Genomic DNA, 22530 nt, shown 5'->3' with positions numbered 1-22530 from the left:
CGCTTGAGCTCACAAGTAACGAGACCAGCCGGGGTAACGTGGTGAAACCTCATCTCGACAAAAAATACAAAATTAGCCGGGCATGATGGTGTGTGCCTGTAGTCCCAACTACTTGGGAGCCTGAACTGGGGAGGATGGCTTGAGCCCAGGAGGCAGAGGTTGCAGTGAGCTAGATCGTGCCACTGCTCTTCAGCCAGGGTAATAGAGCCAGACCTTGTCTCAAAATAATAATAGCAATTTTAATAGTTTTAAAATTTTGAACTAGTTAGAACCTCTTTGATATTTACCTCACCTAGGAAATTGGGATCAGCCCAGCTTTCAAAGGGAGGTACATGAATTTAGGACTGCAGAGTACAGCAAATTTTAGTTCCTGATATGGCCATGCTTTCCTAAGAAGTTTCCAAAGGTTATTGACTCTCAGCTTAGCCTTTTCTACTGCACAATGTGATAGATGCTGTAAATCAGCGTTTAGAGGTGTTTATCTAACTCTCCCTAGTGGGAGATGGGGAAATTTTCACTGAGAATGTAACTCTGCACCATGAGCAGATGTTTGCTAAGTGGGCAAGGATTGAGTGGGGGATGTCTTAAACTGAGGGAAAACATTTGTAAAAGCAGAAAGGGGTGAGGATATGACAGCAAATTTACTATAGCTAACATGAGAGAGAAGAGGAAGGGTAGTAAATAGAATTGAAGAGGGTAGCCAAGGGCCAAATATAAATTTGTATTACAAGCTAAGGAATTTTTATCCAGTCATAAAGAGCCACTGAAAGATTTTATGCAGGGGATTATAATGATCAGATTAGCATATTAAGAAGATGATTTTGGCAATAGTATGGAGTCTGGTTGATAGGGAGGCCAGGTAGGAGGCTACTGAAGTAGTCTGGACAAGAGATGAAGTGTACCTAAACTAAGGCATGGGGATGGAACGGAACTTAGCATTACAGGCAGTTACTTAAATGGCTAGGGGAAGCAAGAGGAAGCAAGAATCATTCCTTGGTTTAATGGTTTGGATGGATGGTGGTGGTCTTTGTTGACGCTAGATATACAGGAGTAGAAAAGCCACTAAAAAAACCCACACACATTTCTGTTTTATGTAGGCATCTTGTATAGGACAGACTAACAAAAATGAAACTGTTTCTTAAATTTAATTGAAATACAATCAGCAATTTTCTCATTATAATTTTACTTAACCCTGTACAGTTCAGTCTACAAAAATAAGTATTGGTAGAATAGCCAGGTGCAGTGGTGTGTGCCTGTATTCCCAAGCTGCTCTGGAGGCTGAGGCAGGTGGATCACTTGAACCCGGGAGTTCGAGTGCAGCCAGAGCAGCATAGTGAGACGCTGTCTCTAAATATTAAAAAAAAAAAAAAGTTTTTTTGTACTAAAGTGAATGTCTGATATCTGCACACCCCACAGAATGTACAGTGGAATTCTAATGCCTTATCTCTGAACTTACTATATATAACATTGATATAACCTTTTCTATTGTTTTTGACGCCTATTTTATTCAGTTAGCATTATTTCCCTTGGCATCCTTATAGCCAGGCAATCCCTTATGATGAAATTAAAAAAAAAAAAAAGACCAACTTTAATGATCTAAGGCTGTGCTGCTTGATATGGGAGCCACTTAGCCACATGTGACTTGAGTATTTGAAACTTGACTAGTTCAAAATGAAATGAGCTGTAGATGTAAAATACTCACTGGATTTCAAAGATTTAATATCTCACTAACATTTTTGTATGTTTATTACATGTTGGAGCAATATTTTGGATACAAGAAGTAAAATTTATTGTCATGATGAATTTTTCCTGTTTTTGTTGTTGTTGTTGTTGTTGTTGTTAACTATTTTTAAAATGTAGCTACCCCTGTAATCCCAGCACTTTGGGAGGCCGAGGTGTGTGGATCATGAGGTCAGGAGATCGAGACCATCCTGGCTAACACAGTGAAACCCTGTCTCTATTAAAAATACCAAAAATTAGCCGGGCATGGTGGCACACACCTGTAGTCCCAGCTAGTCGGGAGGCTGAGGCAGGAGAATCGCTTGAACCCAGGAGGTGGAGGTTGCAGTGAGCTGAGATCACACCACTGTACTCCAGCCTGGATGACAGAGTGAGACTCTTTCTCAAAAAGAAAAAAAAGTAGCTACTAGAAAAATTTAAATTATATATATGGTTCACATTATCTTTCTATTAACTTTCTTTGCTTACTAAGTTTATTTCAGTTCCATTATCTGCCTAGTTTCTATGCTAGGTGTGCCTAACTTCTATACTAGCTAGAGATTTGCTGCATATGATTAACAGCTGTTTCATTTTAATTCATTATAAGTGCCTGGAAACTGCAATAATGCAAAATTGTCTTCCCATATTTTGGAAACAAGGTTAAAAAGTTCTATAGCACCCTATAGTTGATTAGTAAGAACTTCAACGCAGAATATCTGCAGGAAACTGATTTTTGTAGATGTTATCACAATTCATTTTGATATCTGTAAGTTGGATAGTGTTTATTAACTCTTCTGCAAATAAATTATTTCTTAGAATGAAAGTCTCCAAGCTGGTACATGGATAGGATTGGACTAGAGAAAAAGCTTATTTGAAACACATTTTATGAGGGTTTTCATTTATTGCCTAAACACTATAAAATTTTTTTGCCATGTTCCAGTTGACACAGGCCAAGAAATGCCTGAACAGGTAGCAAACACACCTAGCAAACAGGGATGGCTACCATATCAAAAAGTCTCTCTGCTAAGGTGAGGTGCAGGGTTTCTTTTTGGGGTGATGAAAATGTTCTAAAATTAGATAGTAGTGATGCTCACACAACTCTATAAATATACTAAAATCACTGAATTGTATACTTTAAAAGGGTGAGTGTAAGGGTATGTGCAATATAGCTCAATAAAGCTGTTATAAAAAAATTCTGAAGCATGCTTATCTGTTGCAGTTACTGATTTACTAGTCATTTAATGAGAATTAAGTGAGCAGACACAGAAAGCAACCATATGTTCAAGAACTACAGTGATCAGACAAAAATGGACTGTCCTTTTTTGACTTCTGTGTGAGCCCCACAGATCTGGTGGCATTTAGGGAAGCCTAATGGCCTTCTTTTGTGAGTACTTGTGAAAGTTACTAACAATGTATTAGATTGCTAATACATTCAAATTCTAATGTAAAATGAATGTGATACACTGAAAGGTACAGACTGAATCCAGCAGATGAGTAGAAAGAAAACCACTCCAATATTTAATCATTTGTTGTTAAGGAATTTATCCATTAACAAAGTTTTTAGACAGAGTTGTTTATATCTACTCAAGGTGTCATTATGCACATCTGTTTCTTGTACCTCAGGTTCATCCTATAGAAAATCATGCTAACTCACAAGTCATGCAGTGTTTTCAAAAAGACAAGTCATGCAGTGTTTTCAAGTTCAGAGAGTAGCAAAGGATGCAAATCTAATTTCTTTACCATTTGCTACCATCTGAAGTTAGTAACATTTTTTGGCTAATCACCAAGCACCCAGAAAGAAAGAAATAGAGCAAATTTGGTGCATCGTTTGTCTTCCGTATCTCCTTTCGAAGTCATTTCCACAGGATAAGTGCCAAAGCACAGAAAAGAAGCTAGGCCCCACTTTTACTCTCATGAACAAAAGTCTTCCCATAGATTTTTACATAGCTGCTGCATTTGTCATCCCTTTCCTGAAGAGCTTTGTTGCTGTGGTCTTGCTCTAGGGCTGCTTTCAGCAACATTTCTGACGCAGGTTTAATGCTGATTAGCCCTAAAACAATTCTAGGGCAGGGCTCCCTGCCAGGATAAAGAATGAACAAAATTGGTTTGCATATAGGCCAGCTGCAGTTGCTGCAGCTAGAGTCTGTCAAACTAGGACCATTTTCTTGTTTACCAAGATGAGGTTAAATTAGCACAGCATGAGGCAAAAAAAAAAGATTTAAAAAACCCAGAAAATTAGCTATGCTTTTGAGTATGATGCAGTGAGTGTGGAATTAAGGTGATTTTAAGTTAGTTTGAGAAGGGAAGGTAATATACAGTACTAAAAGCTTGATTAAAAGCTGCTTGAAGATATTTGCTTGCTAACTATCTTAGTAAAAAAAAAAAAAGGTATATTTGAATAGTGCCTCAAAGCTCACAGATTACATGTAGAAAAGTCTGTTGGCCCATTTTTATTGAGTATGTGCCTCATGCTTACATGCTTAGCCCTGGTCCTGGCACAAGGGTACAGAGGTGGACATTTAATAGAGGAAGACACTGTCTTTGAGACTGGGTTTCTGGAGACTCTTAATTCAAGCCTCAGCTCTGTCTTTAATTCTCACCTTAGGCAAACCATGTTAGCTGAGCATCTGTGTTCTCCTAATGTAAACAATGAGAGAGGGAGAGGGACTGCTCAGGCTCTTAAAGATAATTCAAGTCTAACATTTTTTGAATTATTTGTTTGTGTAGTGTTATTTCCTAAAATATTTGAATCAAGTTTTATGTGTTCATAGTCTCTGATAGTGGGACATCCAGTCTGGTTGAGGAGGAAAGATGAGCTGTGTAATCAGAGAAGCTGAATGTGAGAGGTTTCTGACTTCCAGAGCTTCAGTTTATAAAGCTCTTTCCCTGCCTCTCCACTTTGCACTGCTCCCATTGCAGAGACTGCCCGCAGATCTACCTTTGGGAACTCAGGCTTTTTATTCCAGCAATGCAAGGCTGAGTTGAGGGAAGGAGCCCCCACTTTCTCATCCACCTGCAAAGGCAAGAGTACATAGCTGCAGGTAACAAGTTATAGGAAGGGTTAGTGTGAGGCAGAAAGGCACAGTAAAGGATAAACTTCATAGTGTTTGATGATCCCCAAAGTGTCATTTGACTTCTTAGACTCCCAGAACCCCTGTGCTTCACTTCCCAGCCCTTCATCAACTCTGGATTCAAGGACTTCTGAACTTGATCTCTGTCACTTTCTCCTCCCTGACCTTCCCAGATCCCAGTCTTGGATCATTAAAAGCACCCCTACTAGTTTAGGGCTGGGAAATGAGGAGACTTAATCATCTTATAACATTGTTCCTATGGGAGGTGAATTCTTTTACAGACTAACGTCCAAATACAATCGTTAGTAAAACTAAGGCTACAGCTGTTAATTTAACTGAAGCTTGTGTAGTTATGGAGAGATTGTTTCTTTTATCAGTTCATATTTCTATGCACTTCTCATTCAGTACTGTGCTATACTTTTCACTGCCCTTCACCTCAGCTAAGATGGTTTTCACCTTAAGTCTCAAGACAAAGGCAGCAAACAGCCAATACAGAATTAGGGCATAGAGCTGGGTGTGATACAGGGTGCTAACTACTCATAGTCCGCTTTAAGCGCAGGATAGAGGACATTCTCACAGAAAAACAAAACAAAACAAACATTTGCCTATATTAGATAATCAAGTGGGTAGGGCTTAGAGAAAAAAGGAATCACCGTGGGTTGTAGTGGGGTAGTTTATACATGTAGGAAACAGTCCTGAAAGATATGGATGTGCAGAATGGAGGCTGATGTTCTGAGCTCCAGCTGAGGGAATTTTCATTTATCTAAAGTTTTTATTTCTGTTTTTTTTTCCCCAGCCGAATTTAAGATTCATATTTCTGTTTTAAAAAGTTGTGAAATGAATATAGCAAAGTGTTAACATTTGTTGAATTCAGGAGGGAAGGTATCTACACACAGTGTTAATTATTTCTGTTTTACTTCTCTATATGCTCTAATTTCTTCTTTTTAATTTTTTTGAGATAGGGTCTCACTCTGTTGCCCAGGCTGGAGTGCAGTGGCACGATCAGGGCTCACTGCAGCCTCAACATCCTGGACTCAAGCAGCCCTCCCACTTCAGTCTCCCAAAGTGCTGGGATTAGAAGGTGTGAGCCACAGGGCCCAGCCTGAAATTTTTTAAAATTACAGACAGGAAAATAAATTGCATTAAAGTTGAGCAGCCCAAGAAACAAAGGAAAGAACTTAAATAATATATAGATCAGATGGTCAGCTCTTGAAAAGGTAGGTGTTAATGGCAGTCAGATATTATATCAGTCTTGAAGGAGCACATAAATCGTATATTGTTTTGCAACCAAAGAACAGAAAAATGACTGCTATCATCAATGATGAAAGCTCAAATGTGATGAAGAAATGGAAAAAATAGATAATGGGCCAAGGTTTCTTCATGGCTTGGGGTTAACTTTTTTTTTTTTTTTTTTTTGAGACAGGGTCTCACTCTTATTGTCCAGGCTAGAGAGGAGTGGCGTGATCACAGCTCACTGCAACCTCACCATCCCTAGACTCAGGTGATCCAGTTCAACCTCCCAAGTAGCTGTCTGGGACTATAGGTGTGCACCACCACAGCTGTCTAATTTTTATATTTTTTGTGGAGACAAGGTTTTGCCATGTTGCCCAGGCTGGTCTCAAACTCGTGGGCTCAAGTGATCTGCCCACCTTAGCCTCCCAAAGAGCTAACAGACGCGAGCCACCGTGCCCACCCATGCTTAATTTGTTTAGGTGCGAGATATACTAACACAGAGAATATGCTGTACATCATTAGAGAAAATGAATATAAATAAATGACATACTTTAGTAATTATCAAAAGGAGCAAGTTCAGCCCAATAAACAAGGGGCAACCTAGTTTTCATACCCATACATCTACGTGCAAGATAAGTGTAATCACTTTTTTCGGAAAGAGTAGCTTTTAATGCATATATTTAAATTATTTTAAGATATGCTCTAAAGCCTCTCCATTGTGCTATAATTGTCTCTAACAGTTGAATTTTTGCCTTTTCAAGAATTTCTTCTATAAATGCTGAGGGAAGAACCATTACTGATAAATTTTCTATATTCCTAATATGCTTGGCTAAGCTTGTAGCAAGGCTCAATATATTTGTTGGTTGGCAGTACAGAATTTTGAGTAGTCTATTTATACCAGTAATATTGTGTTACTAGTGAATAGATGAGTTTAATCTTAGTGTAAAAAGCATATCTATGTAACAGTTTTTCTACTGATTAATTGTATATAATTGAACAGAGTTCAAGTTCATTCCTTTTTTTGTTCATTCCTTCATACAAAATGGGAAGTTGTTTAGAACTCATCCTGAAAGGAATTGACATACTGTAGTCTCTCACAGAAGTACAACTTAATAAACATTTATGGCAATAAAATTTACCCACCATGTAAGTATATCTGCAAAACTATAAGTATGTGGAATGGTCTTACAGAAGTACAAAATTAATAATGTAGTTTCCCTGGTTATTTCTCATCTATTTCTATATCATACTGTGAAAGAATCCAATACTGTTACAATAATAATAATAATGATAATTTAAACATAATTTCAGTATAATTATAATCGCAATTTTAAAAAATGTATGTGTATGTATTTAGAGATGGGGTCTCACTCTGTCACCCAAGCTGAAGTGCAGTGGCACAATCATAGCTCCCTGCAGCCTTGAACTTATGGGCTCATGTGATCCTTCCACCTCAGCATCCCAAATAGCTCGGACTGCAGACATGCACCACCACACTCGGCTTATAATCGCAAGTCTTACGTTCTGTTTTCTTTTTAGAGACAGGGTCTCACTCTGTTGCCCAGGCTGCAGTACAGTGGCACTATCAGAGCTGACTGCAGCCTTGAACTTCTGTGCTCAAGTAATCCTTTCACTTCAGTCCCTTGAGTAGCTAGGACTGCAGGTGTGCACCACCATGCCTAATTAAAAAAAAATTTTTTTTTTTGTAGAGAAAAAGGTCTTGATATGTTGCCCAGGCTGGTCCAAAGTGATTCTCCTGCTTCAGCCTCCCAAAGTGTTGGGATTACAGGCGTGAGCCACTGCACCCAGTGTCACAAATCTTAATTTTTTTTTTTTTTTGAGACGGAGTCTCACTTTGTCACCCAGATGGAGTGCAGTGGTGCAGTCTCAGCTCACTGCAACCTCTGCCTCCCTGAATCAGATTCAAGTGATTCTCCTGCCCTAGCCTCCCGAGTAGCTGGGATTACAGGCACGCGCCACCACACCTGGCAAATTTTTTGTATTTTTAGTAGAGATGGGTTTTTACCATGTTGGCCAGGCTGGTCTCAAACTCCTAATGTCAAGTGATCCACCCACCTTGGCCTCCCACAGTGTTGTGATTACAGGCGTGAGCCACTATGCCCAGCCTTAAATTTTTATTAAATAACCTTCATAGTCCTACAAAACCATTATTGTAGAATTTGTACAAACAAGGTAAAAATCTTTACACAAAGTCAGTAGTATTCCTGTGTTCTTTCAACTAGCCCATGTTCATAATTATTCGTTTATTCTCATATGCCTAACGATGAGGATACATTCTGAGAAAATCACTATTAAGAGGTTTTGTTATTGTGCAAACATCATAGAGTGTGCTTATATAAAACTAGGTAGCATAGCCTACTACAAACCTTGACTATATGATACAGCCTGTTGCTCTTATTGTTATAAAAGATTTAAACATTTTATTTATAAACTGGTATTACCAACTTTCCCCTATTTCTGAATATTTAGGTAAGAAGCAAAAATAAGTTATCCTGGCTTTGTGTAGTGGCTCATACCTGTAATCACAGCACTTTGTGAGGCTGAGGTGGGAGGATTGCTTGAGCTCAGGAGTTTGAGACCAGCTTGGGCAACATAGTGACACCCTGTCTCTCTCTACAAAAAATTTTAAAGAAGATTAGCCAGGTGTGGTGGCACATTCCTATAATCCTAGCTACTTGGGAGACTGAGGCAGGAGGATTGATTGAGCCCAGGAGTTCAAGGTTACCATGAACAATGATTGTGCTACTGCATTCCAGCCTGGGTGACAGAGTGAGACCCTGTCTCTTAAAAAAAAAAAAAAATGTTATCTGAGGGACTTACAAGCAATGACACCCCAGAGGTCTTCATTTCTAATACCATTTTCCAATTAAAGGAGCAGGGGGTCCTTGGAGAAATGTCTGATTTCTAGAAATGGGGCAAGAAATATGAGCCTTATACTGCTGGCAATTAAGGAAGTGCTCAAAAACCCAAAACAGAACAAAGAAGCCACACAACACATAGATGGGGGTGCATCAAATGGGCATAGGAGCCAAATAAAAGAGTTGTAAATGGCCCAAACTGGAACACACTGAGCAGAAAAATAAAAGTCTGTCATGACTTAAAATATAAAATAAATATGCATGAGTCCATACTGATGTAAATAAATGATCAGATAAATTAGTAAATGGAGAAGAGACAAATCTCCCTTACAGAAGAATTCCAAATGATAGAGGTAGATACGTACTTTACCCTCAAGAGGTGAAGTATAACTCTCTATTTCTAAAATGTGGGTTGGGTAGAGTGATTTCCATCTGAAGATTGCAATATAGAAAAGGAGAGAAAAAAGAACTTTTCTGTGGAGAAGCCTGAAGAACACTATCTTAGCCAAGTGATCAAGGTTAACATCAACTGTGATGTCATATTGACAGTATGAATCATTGATATTAAGTGATGAAAATGGCACTTTACCTGTGTGGTCTTCCCCAAACCTATAAACTCAGTATAATCATGAGAAAAACATCAGACAAATCCCAGTTGAGGGACCTTCTACAAAATACCTGACCAATACTACTCAAAACTATTAAGGTCATCTAAAACAAGGAAAATGTGAGAAACCGTCACAGCCAAGAGGAACTTAGGGAGGCTTGACTGCTCTAATGTGGTATTTTGGGTGAGATTCTTGAACACAAAAAGGATCTTAGGTAAAAACTCAGAAAATCTAGATAAAGTTTAGACTTTCGCTAATAATGTACCAAATACTGGTCGTTAATTTTAATAAATGTACTAATGTAAGATGTTACTATTAGGAGAAACTGGTTTTAGGGTATGTGGAAACTTTACTATTTTCCCTATTTTTCTGTAAATCTAAAACCATTCTAAAAATTAAATTTACTTTTTAAAAAGTTTCTTAAAACAATGAAATGAGTTTGACCAATGCAAAGCTGAAGAAAGAAGATAACCATGAAATCTAGGATTCAAAGCAAAGGTTAATAAAATTTTGATTATGTGACACCATGACGGATATACAGTACAATAATAATATCCCTATGTTTGAAATAAGGTAGGTATCAAATTTTAATTTACAAACCAACACAAATTATTAAAGGAATAAAATATTCTAAAGAAAATAGGCTGAGTGCAGTGGCTCATGCCTCTAATCCCAGCACTTTGAGAGGCCATGGTGGGAGGATCCCTTGAGCCCAGGAGTTTGAGACCAGCCTGAGCAACATAGCAAGACCTTATCTCTACTAAAAATTAAAAAAAAAAAAAAAAAAATTAGCCAGGGGTGTGGTGGTGTGTACGTGTAGTCCCAGCTACTCTGGAGGCTGAGGTGGGAGGGTCGCTTGACAAGCCCATGAGGTCCAAGCTACAGTGAACCGTAGTTGTACCACCACATGCCAACCCGGGTCACAGAGCAAGACTCTATGTCAAAGAAAAGTGCAGTGGAGGCTGGTGCGGTGACTCACGCCTGTAATCCCAACACTTTAGGAGGCCGAGGCGGGCAGATCACAAGATCAGGAGTTCGAGACCAGCCTGATTAACATGGTGAAACCCCGTCTCTACTAAAAATACAAAAATTAGCCAGGCATGGTGGCACGTGCCTGTAATCCCAGCTACTCAGGAGGCTGAGGTAGGAGAATCGCTTGAACCCAGGAGGCAGAGGTTGCAGTGAGCTGAGCACTGCACTCCAACCTAGGCAATAGAGCGAGACTCCGTCACAAAAAAAAAAAAAAAAAAAAGGGCAGTGGAGGGGATGTTTTTATTTCTTAAATTATATTTTAGTTTATATATAGTCAAGGCTTTGAAATGAATCATTTTCAAAGCTACCAATATTTTAAATAAGTGACTTAAAAATTTTGGAGTATATAATTCAGACCTAAGAGTACAGTTTTTATTCATCTATCCATTTACTCAACGAACATTTTTATTGCCAGGCACAATATTAAGTAGGTGTTGAGGATGTAAGGGTGAATAATGTGTTGAAGAGCTTAATTTATAAAGGGGAAGATATAATTTAACAGTGTTAATGTAATATGGTAAGCAGACAACAATATGCCATAGCAATTATGAGAACAAAGTTCCAAGAACTTCACAGTGCTATCTCTGTTAAAAAAAAAAAAAAAGACATCATATTCACGTATTATTAAGATAACCAAGAAAGGAAGATAAATGCTTTATCTTGAACCTTACTGTTGAGAAAAAATTTTATTTTAACACATCAATTAATATTTGTTTAGTACAGTGTTTGTACGATAGTGGTTCATTTAAAAATTAAGCTATGGAATTTTTAAAATATTGGACCATAAAAATCTGTTCTAATTTGTAGATTTTGTAGCGTTATGGAAGAAACTCCTCTCTTCTGGACAGGTCAAGAAAGGTTTCCCCAGGAGGTCTCTTCTGAATAGAATCTTTGTTTTTTTTTGAGACAGGGTCTCCCTCTGACACCCAGGCTGGAGTACAGTGGTGCAGTCACAGCTCATTGCAGTCTGGAACTCCAGGGCTCAAGAGATCCTCCTGCCTCAGCCTCCTGAGTAGCTGGGACTACAGGCTCATGCCACCATGCCTGGCTAATTTTTTAAAAAAAATTTTTTTGCAGAGATGGGGTCTCACTGTGTTGGCCAGGCTGGTCTCAAACTCCTGGGCTCAAGTTATTTCCCCCGCCTTGACCTCCCAAAATGTTAGGATTACAGGCATGAGCCACCACACCCAGCCCTGAGTAGAATTCTTAAAGATGTGTAGGAGCCTAATAGGCAGACATGGAAGGAGGGGTGTGGTAGGCAGAATTTTTAAAATATTCCCAAACATTGTCTTCTGGGTATTCAGTTAAAGAGCAGTCTAGGTTCTGCTGTTAAGGAATTTTACAGATTTAATTAAGGTGACTAATTAGCTGACCCTAAAATAGGGAGAGTTGCTTGAATTATCCAGGTGTGTCCTGTATAATCACGAGTCCTTAAAAGCAGAAAATCTCAGCTGCTGCAGAAGAGAGAAGAAATTAGAGAGATTTCAAGTGCAAGATGGTTTGATTTGAGATGTTGGGTGCCATATACAAGGACCAAAGAGAGATCTTAGGTGCTAAGGGCAGCTGGCTGACAGCTTGCAAGGAAACGGGGACCTTAGCTCTACAACCATAAGGAACTGAATTCCAGCAATAACCGCAGTGTGCTTGAAAATGGATTCTTTAGCCAGGTGTGGTGGCGGGCGCCTGTGGTCCTAGCTACCCGGGAGGCTGAGGCAGGAGAATTGCTTGAACCCCGGAGGCAAAGGTTGCAGTGAACTAAGATTGTGCCATTGCACTCCAGCCTGGGTGACAGAGGGAGACTCCATCTCAAAGAATAAGAATAAAGAAAGTGGATTCTTCTTCAGAGCCTCCAGAAAGGAATGCAGCCCTGTCAACAGGATGGTTTCAGTATTGTCAGACTTGGAGTAAAGGAATCAGCTGAGCCATGCTGTGCCAGACTTCTGGCTCATGGAAAATGTGAAATAATAAATGTGGGTGTGTTAAGCTGCTAAATTTATCATAATAACTTGGGGCAATAGAAAATTATTACAGGGGAAAAGTTGTTTCAGACACACGAAGTCTAGCAAGGACCCATAAGATATCGTACTTAAAAGGGAACTGCACGTCATTTGGCGTGGCTCAAGTGCAGGAGCCTCAGAAACTAAAGTAGGTCCAGCTAGATCATGGTGGTCCTCAAATGCCATCTAAGGAATCTGGACTTAGTTGGCAGGGACTGAATTTGTGACACTGGTATCTTAGTTCACGTTGATTTTCCCAAGGAGGTAAGATTAATTCTCTGTCTCCTTCAAGTTTGCTCAAACATCACCTCAATGAGGGCCAACTTGATCATCCTACTTAATACTGCAACTTGTGTACTGCTGGCTTTCCTCACTTTATTCTTTTTTAACTTTCCATTGCACCTTTCATCTTCCAACATACTATATAATTTATTATACTTATTATCTCCCTCCTCTTAGAATGTAAACTGTGAGAGCAAGGATTATTTTGGATATTTTGTTCACTATTTTTTCCAGTTATTTATTGTTGCATAATAAACTATCTCAAAATTTAGCCACTTAAAACAACCAAACTTTTTTAAAAATTATTTTTATGTATTTATTTTGAGAAAGAGTCTTGGCTCTGCAATTCAGTGGCACAATCATAGCTCATTGTAACCTCTTAACTCCTGGGCTCAAGCAGTCCTCCTGCTGTAGCCTCCCAAGTAGCTAGGCCTGTAGGCATACAAAACTATGGGTCTCTCCCCTTAGAATGCCTCAGCCTCCCAAAGTGTTGGGATTATAGGCGTGAGCTGCCACACTTGGCCAAATTAACTCCTCTTTAGGGATGAATAAGTGGATAATAATACTTAGATGGCTACATGAATTGTGGCACTGTCGACAGAGGAAAAGCTTTGAGGGGAAAAATGAGCTTGGTTGTGTAAACGTTGATGTTGAGGCTGCTGAGTCTGAGACAGCAAGTGGAGATTCTTGGTGGATAGTAAAAGTCATGAATTGAAACTCAGGGCTGGGGATCATCTTGAGGATTTTCTTTTTATGTTTTTCTGATGGAGGGAGGAAGGAAGACTTTGTTTTTCCCATGGAGAAGGGGAAAATTCTGCTCCCTTCACCTCACTTTTTTTGGTTTTGGTTGCTTTGTTTTATGTTAATTTTGCAGACTTCAAAAAGTGGTTAAAATGGCTCCACCTCGCCCCTCCCCCAAAGGTGACTTGACTTTTTTCTATTTCAAAAAAGTACGTTAGGTAGTAGCTTTGAGAATCACAGTCTCTGATAGAACTGGGAGGGTCTTAGTCATCTTATAGGTCATTGTTCTCCTCCTGATATATGTGATGTGTGATTTTCAGTCTGTGCAGAACCTTAATACTATTTTAAAATCTGGGTCTTCTAACACCAAACATAGTAGGGGAGGGCCTTGAAGGCCTTTAGATGAAAGGCCACACACTAACGCAGAGAGACTCAGATAACTGCTTTTGTTTAGCACAAATCACATCAACTGAACCATTTTAAGCTTCCAACAACTTCATTTAATTGTTAGAATAATGAGACTTCTGTTTGATTCTTACAGGAAGATTCTCTTTCCCAGTGAGTCTCGTTTCTAACATATTTAGCCCAGTTTGCTCATGTTAGGATAATTTCATAGACCATGAAACAGGATAGTCTATTTACTAATAGACTGCATTGACTAATGTGATATTTTACATTAGTAGAACAAATGTACCCCCTTCTCTACCTTGTAATTTATATCTTTCTTTTAGAGAACTTTGTTGATTTCTAATGTAGGAGGAAGAAAGTGGTATTTTTGTGTAAGCTTAACTGAGTTCCTTGTGTTTTTGACTTCTTATAAAAATTTTTTTGGTGATAGTATGTATTGGCAGCAAAAGTAGTTAATGGAAATGGAGGGAAAGGTCTACTTTACCTCTGACCAAATGACTGCTTCTTTGAGTCATGCAGCAGGAAAGTTTGTTTGAATCAGCTTAGCAGTGTTGCTCCATAGTGTTACTTGTCAGCCCTAAGTTTTTTAATGTTGAGTTACTTTCTTTTGTTCTGGAAGGCAAAGCGTGGCTCTCTTGGTGTCTCTTTAGCAAAGAATATGTTCTTTAGTAATGGGGAAAGATTTGTTTTATATTGAATAATAAAATGTGACATGGATAACAATATGCTTTCCCAGAAATACATTGGATAAATAATTTCCATAGAAGGTAAATACTTAAGAATAATTAATAATGTGTTTCTAATTTAGTAATAAAATAATGTGTTTTCTATAAGAGAAAACTCTTGCTCAAAGACATTGTGATTTGCACTAGGCTACTAGACCAGCATATTCAGCCAGAACCAGAACCTTGTTTTCGTGGCTGTATTTATTATTTGAAAATCACTTAGATGTTCTTCAGAATAATAAAAATTATTTACTAAGCACTGGCAAGCGCATGACATTTATTAATCTAAAAATTATGGACTCTTTCCTCTTAGAGTTTCATAATAGCAGTTACAATACTTAAATTACTTAAAAAATTTTTTTTTCTCACTTCAAATTTTATTATTAGTATGACAAACATGGGCTAGGATCAAAAACTTTGTTTATTCCTTATTATCAGAGAACTCTAGATCTTGAATTCATTGCTAAGGTTATTTTTGCAAGTAAATAATCTGCTGTTGTGTTCTTTGATTGGTGGTAAGCTGCACAGCACCTAAAACTGTCGTATAATAATTTGGCCAGGTGCAGTGGCAAATGATTTTAATGCCAGTGCTTTGGGAGGCCCAGGCAGGATCACTTGAGGCCAAGAGTTTGAGGCCAAGAAACATTTTTATTTTTTTGTTTCCATGAAAAATAGAAATAAAAACTCATCTGGGCATGGTGGCGTGCACCTGTAGTCCTAGCTACAAGGAAGGCTGAGGCGGGAGTTTGAGGCTGCTGAGCTATGATCGCACTACTGCTCTGCAGCCTGTCTCTAAAAAAAAAAAAGGAATTTGTCTGGTCTTTGTCTGTGTTTCCTGAACTTCTCAAACCCTTGGAATTTCCTGAGTGACGACGGGAATGTTATGCTAATCAGGTAACTAATGATGGGCCTCTGGATAGCTTCAGGATAGGCGCTGTCTCTGGAAGGACCAACTATGTGGTTGGGACTCTGAACCAACCTGGCCTCTGGAGAGGGAAAGGAGTTGGAGATTCAGCTTAGTCTTGTAGCCAATGATTTAATCAGTTGTGCATATGTAGTAAAGCCAGTAAAAACTCTGGACACTGAGATTTAGTGGAACTTCCTGGTTGGTGAAAACACTGATGTATGCGCAGGGGAAAGTAGGTGACATGCCCTTTTTCCACAAGAAGAAGGCATGGAAACTCTGCATTCTCTCCTTGATCTTACCCTATATATCTCTTCATTTGATTGGTCATCCTGATTTGTGTCCTTTGTAAGAAAACTGTAATTGTAAATACATCACTTTCCTGAGTCCTGCAAGCTCTAGTGAATTTAGTGTACCTGAGGGACTTGTGGAAACTCTCAAATTTATAGCCAGTCTGTTAGAAGTGCAGGTAGCCTGGGACTTCCAAAGTGTGGCTGGTGTCTGAAATAAGGGCACGCCTATTTGGGAGCGTACCCTTTTACTTGTGGGGTCTGTGCTAACTTTGGGTGGCTGATGAGAGAATCGGATTGCAGTACACTCAGTTGAGATTGAAACAGAATAACTGTGTTGTGAAATTTTGGTTTTCAGTGAATAAATTTTAGTAATTGCAAGTGTATTTAGGCAGGTCCGAGTGCAGTGGTGTTGATAACTAATTCATTACAATCAGTTACAGATTTCTTTGTTCCTTCTCCACTCCCACTGCTTCACTTGACTGGCCTTTAAAAAAATAAATAAATAATAAATTAAAAAGAGAAACTATATTTAGTGTTAGGTAAATATAACATGGCTCTTTAATTTTGATGTAATCAAGAGGAAAGATATTGTGAATCTCTTAAAAACTCAAAGCTTACTGGATTGATGTTGATGTACTCTTACTAAAATCTTAACTAAGTCTAGGCAAGGTGGCTCATGCCTGTAATTCCAGCACTTTGGGAGGCTGAGGCGGGCAGATCACTTGAGCCCAGGGGTTCAAGACCATGGGCAGTGTGGCGAAACCCTGCCTCTACAAAAATGTTTTAAAAATTAGCCAGGCATGAGAGTATATGCCTGTAGTCTTAGCCATGTGGGAGGCTGAGGTGAGAGGATCACTTGAGCCTGGGAGGTCCAGGCAGCAGTAAGCCATGATCGTGCCACTGAACTCCAGCCTGGACAACAACAGAGTGAGACTCTGTCTCAAAAAAACAATTAATTAATTAATTAATTAAAATAAACTTTAATATTACCTGGATTTAAGTTTCTGTGTTGTTGAATATTCCTTAATGGAGTCGATGAATTTGCAGAGACCCCTCCAAGATTCTTTTGTTTGATTCCTTTCATGACCATCACCCTAGACCTTCAAGTTTGCTGACTAGATTTGGGGGTTGTGTGTTTAGAAAGGATAACAAGCTTGTCATGGGCTAGAACCTGTGGTCTTCATAAATAGCTTAGTAGGATATATGGCTTTTTCTATGAAAGGTGGAGAACATGCATTAAAAATGGGCAAATTCTGGCCTGGGCATGGTGGCTTATGCCTGTAATCCCAGCACTTGGGAGGCTGAAGCGGGCAGATCATCTGAGGTCAGGAGTTTGAGACCAGCCTGGCCAAAATAATGAAATCCTGTCTCTACTAAAACTACAAAAATTAGCTGGGCATGGTAGCACACCTGTAGTCCCAGCTACTTGGGAGGCTGAGGCAGGAGAATTGCTTGAACCCAGGAGGCAGAGGTTGCAGTGAGCCAAGATCTCAACGTCACACTCTAGCCTGGGTGACAGAGTAAGACTCTGTCTCAAAAAAAAAAAAAAAAAGGCAAATTCTGTCTTATACTTGGAGAACTGTACTCGTGTATTTAAACATGTAACAAGCAATGTAGACAGTTACCAATAGAAGGTACGATATAGTCAGGGGTTAGTATTATAGTCAGAAAGTCAAAACGAACACAAATAAAAACTCAGGCTAGTAAACACATGAATAGCTAACTGCTGTAATAACAACCCCATAATACTTCAGTGGCATGAGACAATAAAAGTTTTTCTCATTCACGTTTAGTGTAATGTAGGCCAAGGTGGGAGGCACTCTACTTCACAAAGATATTTAGTGACTCAACTTTCTTCCACTTTGAGAACTGTCCATCTTTTAAGGCCTCCTTTGCATTTAGCTGATAGATGGCAGAGGAAAGATAGATTGTGTGCCTTGACCCGGAAATGACGTCATTGCTGCCCACATATCATTGGCAAGAACTAATCGTTTGACCCCCACCCAGAAGCAGATTTTCTTTAAAACTTCTAGGCTCCTGGGGTTATCTGTCAGGGCAGGAAGAGAGGGAAATAGTGTGAGACTTAGCTTTGTTTTGTGGAGAAAGTCTCTGGTCACAAACAGGCTATGATGGAAGTGGATAGTGCAGGAGGTAACTTACTGGGGCCCTCCTAGTGGGAAGGTTTAGGGAGGAGAGTGAGTGAAGAAATATTTAACCATGATGATCAGGCTGAAAAACAGCCCCCAAGGTTCATAAATCTCAAATATTCCTCTTCATTTGCAACCCCACAAGCATGCTATAGAAATCTCTACCAGTAACTTTGAGCTGGGGATGGGGTCCCTATTTCCACTGCCAACTGAGAGGAAGCGTGAAGCAACCAGAAGGCCAGATCTCATATTCCTTTGGTGAAGAGAGATGTGTTCTTGGCATTCTAACATCATCTACATTCATAGTAGCAGAACTTTTGTGCTATATTTCATGTATTTTATGGAGATTGAGAAATTTTAGGAGTTCAGTATTTCCAGAGCTGCCCATGTACATTCTAGTATGTTAAGTTAAAAAATTAGTCACACTTCTTTTTAAATTATACATTATCTGTTTAAATATATGTCCTATAAAGTAGACTTTAAAGTCCAAACTTTATATAAATGGTGATTTACGTTATAGCGCACTTGAATCAGATGTACTTATTTCACTGGAAATTCTCTGAATTATTTAAACTGAAGTTAATTGGACTTTGGTAATCTAGAGGCAAGGATGAAATATTTGAATATGTAAATCTATTAAAATGATTTTTGCTTATGTGTAGTTCTCTATATAACTGGTTAAATTGACCTGGAATAGCTTTCATGTCTCATTTTATTAATGATTTTGTTTAAAACTAGGCTTCTGGGGTTACCTGTCAGGACAGGAAGAGAGGGAAATAGTGTGAGACTTAGCTTTGTTTTCTGGAGAAAGTCTCTGGTCAGAAACAGACTATGATTTTATCAGTGAGACATGAAATCAAACATGATAAACCTCTCTGATAAAACCGGAAACGAGGACTATGTGAAGTAATTGGAACTATTGGTAAATATTCCTAGTGATAACCTGAACATAGCCAAGAGTTTCTGCCTTAATCAGGGGAAAATACAGGCTTAAGATAGGAGCTGGGCAAAATTGTTAGACCAGTTAATGGATTTGTTTCCCTACTTTGCATCTCATTTTGTGGAAGTGATTTTCAGTGTCAATTGTTTGTTTAGACACAGAGTTTGGCCCTGTTGCCCAGGCTGGAATGGATCACAGCTCGTTGCAACCTCCACCTCCTGGGTTCAAGCCATCCTCCCACCTCAGCCTCCTGAGTAGCTGGGACTACAAGCACCTGCCACCACGCCCAGCTAATTTTTATATTTTTTGTAGAGACAGGGTTTTACCATGTTGCCTAGGCTGGTCTCAAGCTCCTGAACTCAAGCGATCTGCCCACCTCCACCTCCCAAAGTGCTAGGATTACAGGCATGAGCCACTGCACCCAGCCTTCATTGTCAATTGTAAAGCTCATGCTTGCTTTTCCTAACGGGGAGATTTTTGTGTCATAGTGTAATTCCCCTCTCTCCTCCTCTCATGAGTAGCTGTTATCCCTGTAAACTAAAGGGAAGAGAAATACCTGTAGTATATATTTAATTATTGAGGTCTCCTTCTTGAATTCTTTCATGCTAGTCCCATATGTAACAATTGTTTCCCTCCCAGAAGTGTGTTTCTGGAGGAGGGTGCTGACTTCTGTGCCCTCTGTGGCACCCTTAACCAAGGACTTGGATGTTTGCTCAGAGGTCTTTCAGCTATCTATCCATGACCATGGATGTCAGTTCACAGCCCTGGCTGTTCCTCAGAGATCTAAGTAACCACTTTGATGATTTCAGGGTTCTCTTAGATATTTGTAATAAACCGATTCCTTTATTACTCTAGTTCAGTTCTGTAGGCAGCTTTCTCAGCCCTTTGTTGTTTTTGTTGAGGAGAGAGTATGAAAGGTTTCTGTAAACCTTGTTTGGGATATTCAGTTCTCACAGTATCTGTGGGTAAGTAGCCCCCCAGCGTAGAAGCTTAATATTTGTTGCTGTCCTTGGATCATCAAACGTTGGGGGTGTGGATAGCAAGCTCTCTTGGCCATTGGTACCCTACATTATCATTATTGACTATTTAAAAGAAAGACTCTGACATCTCTTTAAAGATATCTGAGTTTTAGACATCTGAGTAACCAATAAAAGACATTCAGAAGTTTTTACACTCTTCAAAGCTGCTAAGTTATAGCCTGTGTCGTTACAGTAGTAAACTTTCCTCCAAGAGTTGACACTTTATAATTATGCTTAGGAATATTATTGACGAAATGGGATATCAGTATAAAGCAAATTTCAGCTTATGTTTGCATTGATAAACATGATTTATAAAAGGTAGATTACTTATAAGATTGAATATAATGTTTTTTTTGTTTTTGTTTTTGTTTTTGAGACAGCTTTGCTCTGTCACCCAGGCTGGAGTGCAGTGGCGTGATCTTGGCTCACTGCAACCTCCACCTCCCGGGTTTGAGGGATTCTTCTGCCTCAGCCTCCCAAGTAGCTGGGACTACAGGTGTGTGCCACCACACCCGGCTAATTTTTGTATTTTTAGTAGAGATGGGGTTTCACCATATTGGCCAGGCTGGTCTCGAACTCCTGACCTCGTGATCCGCCCACCTCCGCCTCCCAAAGTGCTAGGATTACAGGCGTGAGCCACTGCGCCCGGCAAGATTGAATATAATGTTGCTGGTGTTTTTACCTTAAATACTGGAATGTAATTTCTAAAATAAAGTTGTTTTTATATTTGCAGAAAAATTGAGAATGGAGTTCCCATATACTTGCCTCACCCCACACACACAATTTCCCCTATCATTAACCTCTCGTAGTATGGTACATTAGTTATAATTAATGAATAAATATTGATACATTATTGCTAACTAAAGTCTACACTCTATTTAGATTTCTTTTTTCTTTCTTTTTTTTTTTTTTGAGATGGAGTTTTGCTCTTGTTGCCCAGGCTGGAGTGCAGTGGCGCGTTCTCAGCTCACTGCAGCCTCCACCTCCCGGGTTCAGGCAATTCTTCTGCCTCAGCCTCCCAAGTAGCTGGGACTACAGGCATGCACCACCATGCCTGGTTAATTTTGTATTTTTAGTGGAGACAGGGTTTTGCCATGTTGGCCAGGCTGGTCTCAAACTCCTGACCTCAGGTGATCCGCCTTCCTTGGCCTCCCAAAGTATTGGGATTACGGGCATGAGCCACTGCGCCCGGCCTCTATTTAGATTTCTTTAGTTTTTACTTAATATTCTTGTATTCGTCTGTTTTCATGCTGCTAATAAAGATAGACTTGAGACCGGGCAATTTATAAAGGAAAGAGGTTGAATTGACTCACAGTTCCATAGGGCTGGGGAGGCCTCAGGAAACTTACAATTGTGGCGGAAGGGGAAGTAAACACATCCTTCTTCATATGGCAGCAGCAAGGAGAAGTGCAGAGTGAAGTGGGGGAAAGCCCCTTATAAAACCATCAGATTTTGTGAGAACTCACTATCCCAAGGACAGCATGGAGGTAACCAACCCCATAATTCAATTACTTCTCACTGGGTCCCTCCCACGGTGTGTGGGGATTATGGGAACTACAATTCAAGGTGAGATTTGGGTGAGGACATAGCCAAACCATATCAGTCTTTTTTCTGTTGAGGTATCCCATCCCCATAAGTTGTCATGTCTACTTAGGCTCCTTTTGGCTATGACAGAATCTCAGACTTTCATTGTTTTTGTTGTCCTTGATAGTTTTGATGAGTACTTATCAGATATACTATAGGTTACTCCTCCTGGAATTTGATGTTTTTCTTATGATTAGACTGGAGTTATGGGGTTCTGTGATAAGACTGTTTAACCTTGTAAGGAATTGCCAAACTCTCTTCCAAAGTGGCCGTACAATTTTGCATTCTCATCAGCAGTGAATGAGAATTACTGTCACTTCCTATCCTTGTCAATATTTGGTATAGTCAGCTTTTGGGACTTAAGCCATTCTAATCAATATGCAGTGGTTGGGATGTAATTTTTTTTTTTTTTTTTTTTTTTTTTGTGACAGTCTCACTTTGTCATCCAGGCTGAAGTGCAGTGGCATGATCTCAGATCACTACAACCTCCACCTCTTGGGTTCCAGTAATTCTCCTGCCTGGCCTTCCTGAGTAACTGGGATTATGGGCACCCACCACCATGCCCAGCTAATTTTTGTATTTTTAGTAGAGATGAGGTTTCACCATGTTGATCAGGCTGGTCTCGAACTCCTGACCTCAAGCAATTCACCTGCCTCGGCCTCCCGAAGTGCTGAGATTACAGTTGTGAGCCAACATGCCCAGCCAGGATGTAATTTTTTAAAGTTGGTCATTTAGTCTTACTGTCATACTTTTTAGGTTGAGCATTCCTAATCCAAAAATCTGAGATCCAGAATACTCCAAAATTTGAAACTTTTTGAGGCCAGTATTCTAATTTTCTAATTAGGGATGCTCTTTAATTTTTAAAGTTGGTCATTTAGTCTTACTGTCATACTTTTTAGGTTGAGCATTCCTAATCCAAAAATCCGAGATCTAAAATGCTCCAAAATT

General features: G+C 39.4%; 1 protein-coding gene across 25 annotated transcripts in view, besides 4 other annotated features; it reads left to right on the top strand.

Annotated features, from left to right (window-relative positions):
* DENND5B (DENN domain containing 5B) overlaps window positions 1-22530 on the top strand; it is a 208911-nt gene that overhangs the window by 68453 nt on the left and 117928 nt on the right. For 8 of the 25 annotated variants that reach the window (NM_001308339.2, XM_017018899.2, XM_047428422.1 and 5 more), the window contains one exon: window positions 22032-22291. The exons of the other annotated variants lie outside the window; for them this stretch is intronic. In NM_001308339.2, coding sequence (NP_001295268.1) covers window positions 22126-22291 — 166 coding nt within the window. In that variant the 5' untranslated portion in view covers window positions 22032-22125. Of the gene's footprint in view, window positions 1-22031; window positions 22292-22530 lie in introns of those variants that run through there. 25 annotated transcript variants of the gene reach the window in all.
* Window positions 3130-3666: an enhancer, noted in NCBI's record as "NANOG-H3K27ac hESC enhancer chr12:31671952-31672488 (GRCh37/hg19 assembly coordinates)". NCBI's record gives its function as "activates a minimal SCP1, AML or CMV promoter by ChIP-STARR-seq in primed H9 embryonic stem cells {active_cell/tissue: H9 hESC(primed)}" and the evidence as "EXISTENCE:reporter gene assay evidence [ECO:0000049][PMID:30033119]".
* Window positions 3130-4204: a biological region, named in NCBI's record as "NANOG-H3K27ac hESC enhancers GRCh37_chr12:31671414-31671951 and GRCh37_chr12:31671952-31672488".
* Window positions 3635-3929: a silencer, noted in NCBI's record as "tiled region #725; HepG2 Repressive non-DNase unmatched - State 10:DNaseD, and K562 Repressive non-DNase unmatched - State 22:ReprW". NCBI's record gives its function as "represses a minimal TATA promoter and a strong SV40 promoter by Sharpr-MPRA in HepG2 and K562 cells {active_cell/tissue: HepG2 | K562}" and the evidence as "EXISTENCE:reporter gene assay evidence [ECO:0000049][PMID:27701403]".
* Window positions 3667-4204: an enhancer, noted in NCBI's record as "NANOG-H3K27ac hESC enhancer chr12:31671414-31671951 (GRCh37/hg19 assembly coordinates)". NCBI's record gives its function as "activates a minimal SCP1, AML or CMV promoter by ChIP-STARR-seq in naive and primed H9 embryonic stem cells {active_cell/tissue: H9 hESC(naive and primed)}" and the evidence as "EXISTENCE:reporter gene assay evidence [ECO:0000049][PMID:30033119]".

The sequence above is a fragment of the Homo sapiens genome, chromosome 12 (assembly GCF_000001405.40).
Source record: "Homo sapiens chromosome 12, GRCh38.p14 Primary Assembly".
NCBI lineage: Eukaryota > Metazoa > Chordata > Mammalia > Primates > Hominidae > Homo > Homo sapiens.
This window is presented reverse-complemented; position numbering and strand designations above follow the sequence as displayed.